The sequence below is a fragment of the Homo sapiens genome, chromosome 3 (assembly GCF_000001405.40).
Source record: "Homo sapiens chromosome 3, GRCh38.p14 Primary Assembly".
Classification (NCBI taxonomy): Eukaryota; Metazoa; Chordata; class Mammalia; order Primates; family Hominidae; genus Homo; species Homo sapiens.
In genome coordinates, this window is record NC_000003.12 from 138123024 (window position 1) to 138134294 (window position 11271).

At 43.1% G+C, this 11271-nt stretch overlaps 1 protein-coding gene across 3 annotated transcripts; it reads right to left on the reverse strand.

The window, feature by feature from the left end:
• Positions 1-689: 689 nt before the first annotated feature.
• On the reverse strand, positions 690-10279 carry A4GNT (alpha-1,4-N-acetylglucosaminyltransferase). Of its 3 annotated transcripts, none has more exons than XM_017006544.2 (3): positions 9991-10279; positions 7826-8259; positions 690-1855 (listed from the first exon to the last, which is right to left on the reverse strand). In XM_017006544.2, exons 2-3 carry the CDS (start codon positions 8231-8233, stop codon positions 1241-1243), a joined length of 1023 nt encoding a protein of 340 aa, XP_016862033.1. In that variant the 5' UTR covers positions 8234-8259; positions 9991-10279; the 3' UTR covers positions 690-1240. The 3 variants fall into 3 exon arrangements, with proteins under 3 accessions (XP_016862033.1, XP_016862032.1, NP_057245.1); XM_017006543.3 differs by lacking the exon at positions 9991-10279 and adding an exon at positions 9207-9367; NM_016161.3 differs by lacking the exon at positions 9991-10279 and adding an exon at positions 9189-9367.
• Between the last annotated feature and the right edge of the window lie 992 nt (positions 10280-11271).

Consider the following 11271-nt stretch of genomic DNA (forward strand, 5'->3'; position numbering starts at 1 on the left):
CACACCCAGCTAATTCTTGTATTTTCTGTAGAGACAGGGTCTCACCATCTTGCCCAGGCTGGTCTTGAACTCCTGGGCTCAAGCAATCCACCTGCCTCAGCCTCCCAAAGTGCCAGGATTACAGGTGTGAACCACTGTGCCTGGCCAGCAGTGATTCCTAAAGGGGGAAATATTAGAATAAAAGAGGGATAGATGGATATAGTTTGAAAGGGTGTCATAATTTTACGTTTGGGGGCAAATATAAACTTTTTCCCATAAAGCAAACTATCAAAAGGAAAGTTCTAGAAAATCTTGGCTAAGTGTTTGCTGAAGAAATATTAATTTTCATACCTCCTGAAAAGAAATAATAAATTATTTATTTATTTATTTGTAATTGACAAATAAAAATTGTATATATTTATGGTGCTTTGAACATGACATTTTGAAATGCAGGAGGTAAATTTTTATGTGAATCTAAAAAGGGCAGCAGTTTTAAATAGTCTGAGTTGGTAAGTTGCTTCTGTGGGCCAATTATGACAGGGTTAATGTGTATATTGGAAAGAGGTAGGGTAGAGAACAGCAGACACCCTGGGGAGGGGAGGAGACTGTCCCAGGATCATGAGGCCAGGGATTAGGATATAAGTGCTGAGGATCTCATCTGCTTGATCCAGCTGTATCTGCAGCATCTAAATCAATGTTTGGCACATAGACCAGGCTCAGTTAATATTTATTGACTGAATGCATTAATGAATGTCAAAATCAGGACTAGAAATCAAGTCTCTTTTTACCTCAGTCAATGCTCTAACAGGTCCTGGAATTAATCTTACTGTATTAAATAGAACATGTAGCAAAACTGTTAGCTGCCTATCCCAGTACCCATTTTTTCTTCCTCCTTAAACTTCCCAGCCTCTCTTGCAGCTACATCTCAGTCAGTGCAATGTAAGAGAAAGTGTTATACGGTACTTGCAGGAAGTCTTCACAAAATAAAGCAAGTGCACCTTTCCTCTTTTCTTCATCCTACTGCCTGAAATGCAAACATGGTGGGTTGGAGGTCAAGCAGTCAAATGGACCATGGGTGTATGTTTTATAGCCAGTATCATTTGGGATTTTTCTATTACAGACAGAGAAAGCTAATCCTAACTGACATTTGAGAGGCAACCCTCTGCCCACCCCGCCAAGAGACAGTGGAGATCAAGTGAAAATGTGGCACTCCAGGAAATGTCCATTTCCACACTGCAGCAGCAGCAAACGAGTGTTAGCTTTATTTGTTACCTGGACCCAGCTCCCCAGTCACTGACCCCTCTGGGCCTTTAATCAGGTCCCTGTAAGTCCTGGGACAGTGCTTGCGATAGAGATTTTCCACCAGTGTGTTGCTTCCTCTAATCACAGCCCGCCCCTCCTGGTTCATGTGGTTCCACAAATGCAGGGCATAAGAGACATTGAAGCTTGGCTCTGTATCCCACACTTCATAGTAGCGCCTCCACTCTCGATAGGAGATGGGGTAAAATCTTTGGGGGTGTAAGAAGGATATGTTCAGACACCTGAGGTCGCTCACCTCCTGGAAGTCTTCAAGTTTACACCATACCCTCAACATCCTTGTCATCAACTCAGGGCCTTGGTTGCCCCAAATGGCTGAATTATAGTGTTCAACAAAGTTTTCCATGCATTCCCACAAAAAGGGGTGGTGGGGGAGGAACCCAAATATTCCATTACTAGAGTACCGAGAAGCCTGCGCAGCCAAAAAGTTCTCCTCAGGGATGGGCCTGATGGAGATGACATCGGTGTCCATGTAGATGCCACCGTATTTCCAGATGATGGCCAGGCGGGATGCATCCGAGCTGATGTGGAGCCAGTTTCTCTCTGCGCTGGCGTTGATCTGCAGGAGCAGGTGCAAATCAGCCCCAAGTAGCCAGGGGAAGAGGGAGGGGCATCACAGCAGGAGGCCAGGCCCAGAGAGGCTGGGGAGGGGTTAAAGAAGCCAGCTTCCCAAAATCCTATTTGCCACAGCCCGATTTTGCAAGTTTACCAAACTTACCTCACTCTAAAATTTTTCATTTAAGTAAAAAGTTTGCAGCAATCAGTATCAATGGGAAAGTTTTAGCAGCTTTTAAAGATTTCATGAAATGGTTTTTTTAAAAAAACATTAAAGCATTGGAAAGATAAAGAAGAAATCCAGAAAAGATTTCACTATGCACTGTATGAGTCATTCTTCAACGTGGGTGTACATAAACTACAAATATGTAACTGTAGAGGAAGAACCAAATAAAGCCCTTAAAATGCTAACAACTGACAATGAAAAAAATCAGTATGTCTGCTATTTGAAAAATTGATAAAAAAATCTTAAAATGCATACCTTTGCTCATGTATTAATTCCTTTATTATTAAAGGAATTAATTTATTGAGGGCCTATTTACTATGTGCCGAATTCTATTAAAACTGCTAAGGATACAGCAGTGAACAAACAAACAGAAATCCCTACTGGGAGGAGACAGATAATAAATAAACCTTCTGTGTTGGATGCTGACAACAACTATGAAGAAAAAAAGCTGGGTGAAGGGACTGTGAAGGGGCCAGGGTGGAGCGCTGTATTACGTTAGTTCCCCCAGAAACTGGAATGAAGTGGGTGGATGAACCATGCCCATAGCTGAGAAAAGAGAGTTCCAGGAGGAGGGAACTCCTAGAACTCTCTTCTCTTGCAGTAGAGATTGTCCACCAGTGTGTTGCTTCCTCTAACCACAGACCTCCCTTCCTGGTTCATATAGTTCCACAAATGCAGGGCATAAAAGTCACTGAAGCTCAGGTCTGTATCCCAGTGAATACAAGGGCCCTGAGGCAAAAGCACACATGCCATGTCTGGGAACAAGGAGGAGGCAGTGAGCTGAAGCAGAGCTGAGAAGGGAGTGGGGTAGGCAATGAGATCAGAATTGGAGAGGGGTGGGGAGGGAGGCCGGATCATGTAGGCTGGGGCCAAGACTGAAGTTATTTGAAAGGTTTAGAAGAAAGGAGGGAAGTGATCTCAATTACTCTTCAAAGGGTCACTCTGGCTGCTGTGTGGAAATCAGTCTGGGGTAGGGTTGGTAGATGGCAAGGGCAGAAGCAAACGCAAGTTGGGAGTCGGTTGACATAATCCAGACATGAGATGATGGTGCTAACAGTGGGGGTGAGGGAAGGGCACATAATGAAGATGAAGCTGGTCAGGATTTGCTAATGGGCTGGGTGTGGGTGGGAGAGAGAAGAGTCACAGATGACTGCAAAGGCTAAAATGTGGGTAAAACAGAAAATGACTTTAAAAAGAATAAAAATAAATCAGCATAAATGTCAATGTTCTCATATGGAATGCTAAGATTCTGAAGAGAAATAGAAAGCAAAATGTTTTGTTTGTTTGTTTTTTAATTTTAAATACATTGGTTAAAAGGTTAAACAACCACCCCTGGCTTTTGACAAAATAAACAGTCTTTAAAATTCTGCTATCGAGTCAAATGAAAGCAGGTCAACTAAAACTTGCAGAAATCTTCACAAGTTGTTAAAAATTGTCACATTGTGCTGGGCATGGTGGCTCACACCTGTAATCCCAGCACTTTGGGAGGCTGAAGTGGGTGGATTATCTGAAGTCAGGAGTTCGAGACCAGCCTGACCAACGTGATGAAGCCCCGTCTCCACTACAAATACAAAAATTAGCCAGGCGTGGTGACAGGCGCCTGTAATCCCAGCTACTAGGGAGGCTGAGACAGGAGAATCATTTGAACCTGGGAGGCGGAGGTTGCAGTGAGGAAAGATTGTACCATTGCACTCCAGCCTGGGCCACGAGAGTGAAACTCCATCTCAAAAAAAATAAAAATAAAAATAAGCCGGGCGTGGGTGGCTCATGCCTGTAATCCCAGCACTTTGGGAGGCCAAGGTGGGCAGATCACGAGGTCAGGAGTTGGAGACCAGCCTGGCCAACATAGTGAAACCCTATCTCTACTAAAAATCCAAAAAAAATAGCCAGGCATGGTGGTGGGCACCTGTAATCCCAGCTACTCTGGAGGCTGAGGCAGGAGAATCACTTGAACCTGGGAGGCGGAGGATGCAGTGAGCTGAGATTGCACCACTGGCGAGAGAGCAAGACTCCATCTCAAAAAAAAAAAAAAAAAAAAAACAATAATTGTGACATTGTATACAATTGCCAAAAACCTAATAATAATAGCTAACATTTATCAATAATTGTTCTAAGCTCTTTTTAATCTACGCGAGTCCTCAAAAATAGGTACTATGATCATTCCTATTTTTTAAGTTAAAAATTATGACCAGGGGCGGGGCACAGTGGCTTACACCTATAATCCCAGCACTTTGGGAGACCGAGGTGGGCGGATCACGAGGTCAAAAGATCGAGACCATCCTGGCCAACATGGTGAAACCCCATCTCTACTAAAAATACAAAAATTAGCTGGGCATGGTGGTGCGTGCTTGTAGTCCCAGCTACTTGGGAGGCTGAGGCAGGAGAATCGCTTGAACCCGGGAAGCGGAGGTTGTAGTGAGCCGAGATCACGCCACTGCACTCCAGCCTGTGCGACAGAGCAAGACTCCGTCTCAAAAAAAAAAAAAACAAAAAACATAAGCGCTCCAATAAGGATGACCAGCGGAAAGAGGTTTAAGGTTCTAGCTGCTCAGAGAACAGTTGCCCATCCCCACCCTATGCCCATAATTCTCATTCCTGGGCATCATCAAGGGCTACAATAGCCCAGATCAGTGCAGAAAACCCAGTGGTCACAAGGAAGTGATGGCACCTTAGATCTTTCCTAACAGGTGGTTCCCAGCTATCCTGTGGTGGCCTAACTGGGGAAGCACATGCCACAGCTCAGTATCCCTAGGGTATTGTGGTATGATCCCTATAGATGTACAGCCTACTGTAGTATTCTGCAGGCTCAGATGGAGCAAACACTTAGGAGCTCTCTAGCTCAGAGCCCATCTTGCTCCTAAAATCCAACATAGTAAAATTAAGGTGCAGCTCAGAGCAATCTAAACTGTGTTCCATGGAACATCAGTGCCAAGAGATTATTTGTCACACTGAAAGAGGGTTCCATGCTCAAATAAGTTTAGGAAGTGATGGGTTGAATCCAGTTAGATTTCTTCAGTTCAGAAAGATAAAGAGGCTTTAATATCCTCATGTGTGTGATTCATCTGTAAGAAAAGGATGTGGTATGCAGCTTCTCCCAAAATAATTTAATTACAGATTTTTTTCAAGGAGCAAAATACAATTTAGGCAGTGTGTTAGGCTGTTCTTGCATTCCTATAAGGAAATATCTGAGACTGGGTAATTTATAAAGAAAAGAGGTTTGATTGGCTCACGGTTCTGCAGGCTTTACAGCAAGCAAAGCAACAGCATTTGCTTGGCTTCTGAGGAGGCCTCAGGGAGCTTTTACTCACAGCTGAAGGTGAAGCAGGAGTAGGCGCATCACATGGCGAGAGCAGGAGCAAGAGAGAGAGTGGGGGTGGGGGGGTAGGTGCCACACACTTTTAAACAACCAGATCTCACGAGAACCCACTCACTATCCTGAGGACAGCACCAAGTCGTGAGTGATCCACCCCCATGACCCAATTACCTCCTACCAGGCCCCACCTCCAACAATGGAATTACAATTCCACATGAGATTTGGTGAGGATATATATTCAAACTATATCAGGTAGCGTTAGTCTAGCCCAGGCATCAGGAAACTTGTAGAGTCCCAGAGCACCCTCTAGCAAGTTAGCACTGAGAGCCACAAAGACCAAGCTGGGGTGTCCCCTCCACTCCCAGAAACTGCCTCCCTACCCCTCTGCCCGCCCTGCCACTGTGCAGGGCAGTGCCACCTGCTTGTTGGGAACTCTGCTGTTGGCAGCTGCCAACACAGTGAAAACTCAATCCATGAACTGCCCCACCTCCTCCTGATGGGTCCCAATTTGAGGACTTCAAGTTTCTTCAGAAGGAGAGATATGCACTTTGGGATGTAGAAGTCACTGGGGCCAAGAATAAACTGACCCCAGGAGCCATTCCCAGCCCCAGCCCCTACCTTTCTGGCCCACCAGATCCCTCCCCATCATGTCTGTCACTTAGTCCAAAAAATGTCTCCAGCTGACAGCAACTAGGTACAAGCATGCCCTCCACCCAGGACAGTCCACCCAGTTCCCAGGCAAATGAGGTGGGTCAGGGAGTAGGCTAAATAATGGCTACCCAAAGACCTCAGGTCCTAATTCCTGGAACCTGTTAATGTTACCTTATATGGGAAAAGTATCTTTGCAGGTGGTCATTAGGAACCTTAAGATGGGGAGAGTATCCTGGATGGGCCCTAAATGCAATCACAAGTGTCATTTAAATGGATAGACAGAGGGAGATTTTACACAAACAGAGGAAAAGAGATTTGAAGATGGAGACAGAGACTGGAGTGAGGGGCTATTGGCCAAGGAATGCCAGCAGCCACAGAAGCTTGTCAGAGGCAAGGGATCATCCTTCCCTAGGAACTCAGGAGGAAATGCAGCCCTGCCAGCAGTTTGATATTGGCCCAGTGAAAATAATCTGGGACTTCTGGCCTCCAGAACTGTGAGAGAATGAATTTCTGTTGTTTTATGCCACCAGGTTGGTGGTAATTTGTTACAACAGACGGAAGAAACTACCACAAGTACCTTCATAATATCCTCAATTTTACCACCTTAGCCCACAAGGCCGAAAATATTTACTATCTGGCCCTACACAGAAAAAAAAGTTTGGTAATATTTGCTACAGCCTATGATTAGAATTTAGACAGAACTTTATGTGGCAAGCAAATAGTATTATTTTTGCTTGTGTGTTTGTTTGAGACAGAGTCTCGCTATGTTGCCCAGGCTGGCCTTTGAACTCCTGGGCTCCAGCGATCCTCCTGCCTTGGTCTCTGGAGTAGCTGAGACTACAGGTGCATGCCAGCACACCCAGTGTGAATAGTATTATTTTTATGTCAATGTTTAGATTACTTTTTGTTTTCTAAAATAATGTTATTTATAAAATCAACACATTCTCATCACTAAATTCACTCCTAATCCAATTATACGAAAACACCTACTATTATTGTGTGTTGTAGAGTTCTTTCAGGTCTTTTTTTTTTTCAATAGATGTGTGTGGGTTTTTGCATAACTTAAATCGTTATAACTATTATAATTACATTATGACATAAGGTGGTTTTAATTCCATATTGTGTTATAGTCTTCATAGGATGTCAGTTTTAAAAAATTATAGTTAAAGCCTGCATAATGGAATCATTGAGTTGTTGTACTATAATTTCTTTAAGCAACCTGATTTCAGCTCCTCTATAAGAGAAATATTAGACTGGCACATTATTCCCTTATTCTGGTTCACTACAAACTTGGGGATTACAAAATTCCTCTAAGCTCCAGGAGTTTCTCAATCATATCTTAATACAACCCAATCTCATATCGCAGCATTTCATCCATCCTTCATGAATTTTCTACTTACATCATTTTCATGTTAAATATTGCCTGGTTTCCACTTTAGGTGAAAAAAAAAATAAAGTTTAACATAAGTGGATTTAAAACTGTAGTGAAAAATAAGTGTCCTATACACCTAGAAAAGATATAAAAACTCATTCAGTTAAGAATAGTCTCCAAAGTAACCAAGATCCTAAAAGAAATAAGGCTAGAAGCAAAAGACAGCAGAATAAAGATGCACCTAATGTAAGTCTTCCCTCTTTATTTGAATCAGTTCTCAACATGGTAAAAAGAGGGCCAAATGAGAGTCAACCCAAATGTGGGTTCTATTCCCATCTCCGACCTGAGTCCTTACCCTCAGTTTACCCATATATACAATTCGTTGACATTTTAAGTTTCCCTAAACACTTACTTGATTGTACCATGAAAACAATGGTGTGTCTTCAAGCAGCCTTTTCATATCCAAAGGGAAGAGGAAAACGTTGTCTATTGCTGACAGGAAGGAAAAAGCTGGGTATGTGGAGTTTGAGGGCATCGGTGTGGAATCAGTAAGACCCTTCATAAAGAACACCACAGGCCACTCAGGATAAATCTTGGCAGCAGACTCTACGGAACAGGAGACCAAATGGGGTGGCTCCATTCTCTCTGAGGTCTCTAGAAACACAATGCCACGTCTGTGGCTCAGGAGGGCTTCCAGCCCCTGGTGGGACTTGAAAGAAGGCAAACAGAAGAGGCAGCTGGACTTCAGGGTGAACTGGTAGAGGAAGCCACAGACAAGCAGCAAGGTGACTGACAGGGAGAGCTGGAGCTCCTTCCGCATGTCCTCTTCTCTGTGCCAGCCTGCTCCTTTAAATCAACACAATTAATTAAAAATCACAGCTGCAAAACCTGACAAAGATAGCACACAAGAAAATGATACATGAATATCATTTAAAAACTTAAATTTTAAATATCCTAAATAAAATATGATGAAATCAAGTCCAGCAATATTAAAAAAAAAATGCAGCCAGGCATGGTGGCATATGCCTGTAGTCCCAACTACTAGGGAGGCTGAGGCAGGAGGATCCCCTGAGTCCAAGAGTTCAAGACTAGCTTGGGCAGCATAGTGAAAATCATCACAAAAATTTAAAAAAAAAGAAAAAGAAAAAGACAAGAAATATGTGAGAAAGAAAAATGCATCATAACCAATCAGGATTTATCTTAGATTTTAAAATGATTTGACATTAAAAATAATTAGTTAATAGGGAAAACTATTGATAAAATGCATTATCTTAACAGTCTAAAGAAGAAAAGCCATATGATCATTTTGGCTCAAGAGATGCCAAGAATGTGACTAACTTTAAGATCCATTCACAATTTTTTTAAAGTACAAGGAAACTTTCTTAAGCTGATTTTAAACAATGTCTACCAGAACATATAGCAATTATCATACTTAATATGAAACATTTGAAACATCCCATTAAGATCAGGAATATGATATGAATGTCCATTGTCATTGTCACTGACATCATTGGTTACAATCTGATAATTGTAACCAATGCAATAAAACAAGAGAAATGAATTTCTACTACGAATATTAAAAGAGGCAAAAGTATCTCTAGGTTCAGAAAACATAACTGAAAAACTAATAGAACTAAGAAAAAAAATTAACAAAGGAAGCAAACTGAAGGCTAAAGAGTTAAATAAATTGCCAAGATCACACGATTAGCAAGTAGCAGAGCTGTGACTGTAACTTGCATCCACCTGCCACCAAAGTCCAGGCTCTGAACCGTTACCTGCAGTGCTTTCCTCACCAAAAATGTTAGCTCTAACCAAGGAGAACACAGATCTCACGTCTTGGCAGGTCTATCTTTCAAATTACATATAACCCTTTTAGAAAATACAAAACAGTGAATCAGAGCCTAACTTCTAGCTGCAAATGCAGTTAACCAGTATTTGAGGTCTTAGAAATGACAAGTTCTTCCTGCTACACTTTCTGATAAATCACCACCCAATCTTCCAACTCAACAACACAGGGGTAAGTAAATCATTGGCAGATTGAGACTAAACACAAAAAGTTCCCAGGAAGCTCCTCCCTTTACTAAGTTCTCCCAAACACAGCCACTTGGGAACAAGAGGGGTTTACCAGATTTTTAAGGTGACCCACACACTAATCCTGCCTGTTTGTGGATCTATTATGGGGGTTATAAAGGGATTATTTCACCTGGAGAAAACTGTATCCTGGCATAACCTTGGAGCCAACATATCCTGCACTTGATCAGTTTAGCTTGAATCAAAATTATGGACAGAGACCCTGTAAGGTGGTACAAACTCCCCTTTGCAAGCACAAAGTTTGATTAAAAGGAAAGAGAGCCCATCACCACAAATAAGCAATGAACAAAGCCCTGCAGTCCAAAGGCCCAGTGATCTAGAATGAGAAGTGATTCCCCAGTGTCAGTCACAGTGGCTGCAGGAAGGCTCCTTTTTCCCCAAGGTCCCCCTTATGGGGTATAAGCCTCGTCCCAGTCTCAGGAAGCCAGCTTTGTTGTCCTCCACTGATGTGGCAGTCCCCACATTTCCCAAGGTGTTAGCACTCACCTGTGGCCTATTCTCCACCGCCCCTGAAATGAGCTCTTAGCAATCTTCTTTGGAGCCATCCTCTGCTGAGAGTCACCTGTCTTGGCCATGAGCAGGTATTCACAGTTCCCCCTGGATGCTCTAGTGTGAGCAGGTAGGCCTGCTCCTGAGCAGACTTTAGATTCTAACATAGCAGGTCCTACATGAAGGGAGTTAAAGCTGCCCCACTCATTGATGGCTTCTGGTTTTCTATGTGTCCAAGGACCCCAGAAACAGCTTGTAGGTCTCCACAAACCTCTTCCTTTTGGAGCTGAATTTCTTCTCTGGACCTCATTAATTCTGGGCTCAGAGTGCCTTGGCATCTTTCCAAAGTTCTCTGTAATTGGACAGATTGGTTGTTCTTTCCTATGAAGGGGAGTGGAGATTAGTGCTCCTGCTCCTTGCCCAGGGGTAACTAGAGGACCCCATCTGTGGGAGTGATAACACATTCCTGGGCCTCAGGTGGGTCACATATCTTAGTGCCTCCCAACTGCTAGCCCAGTGGCTAAAACTATTGAACAAGTGGTCAAGGCAGAGATCAGTGATGTAGTTAATGGCCTTTGTCAGGTGAGGATGAATGTGAGCATCAGCAATGCAGTGAAATCCCAAGCACAAAAGTAGGACCTATCTGACCAAGAACCAAGTAGAAAGCATGATGGAAGTAGCACTGAGCTTGGAGTTATGCCTCCAGCCACCACAGGCTGAGGGCACTAGACAAGCCCCTAAACTGCCCAGAGCCTCAACTCCCTTGAAAAGTGCAGAAAATGACCGACCTCAGGCTCACTGTGAGAATGAAAGTTCTCTTTAAACCAAAGAAGTTATTGTCACTTTCTACCAAGGAAAATAGAAGAGAAAAATAGAATTATATCAATATGGATGGTATTTGTACTCCCTGATAACAAACATTAAGTTGTTTTGTTTTGTTCAGATGAGTGAAATCTATTCCCTATTCTAACCTTGTTTTTTTTTTTTTTGTTTTTTTTTGAGACAGAGTCTCCCTCTGTTGCACAGGCTGGAGTGCTGTGGTGTGATCTTGGCTCACTGCAACCTCTGCCTCCCTGGTTCAAGTGATTCTCCTTCCTTGGCCTCCCAAGTAGCTGGGACTACAGGCATGTGCCACCATTCCTAGATAATCTTTGTATTTTTAGTAGAGACAGGGTTTCACCATATTGGCCAGGCTGGTCTCGAACTCCTGACCTCAAGTGATCCGCCCACTTTGGCCTCCCAAAGTGCTGGGATTACAGGCATGAGCCACCGCGCCTG

Bases quoted from the DNA above. Each gene is read 5' to 3' on its own strand.
- A4GNT (XM_017006544.2), bottom strand. From the start codon at position 8,233: ATGCGGAAGGAGCTCCAGCTCTCCCTGTCAGTCACCTTGCTGCTTGTC. The intron at 1,856-7,825 runs GTAAGTGTTTAG...CTGCTCCTGCAG, and splicing joins TGTTTTCATGGTACAATCAA to ATCAACGCCAGCGCAGAGAG.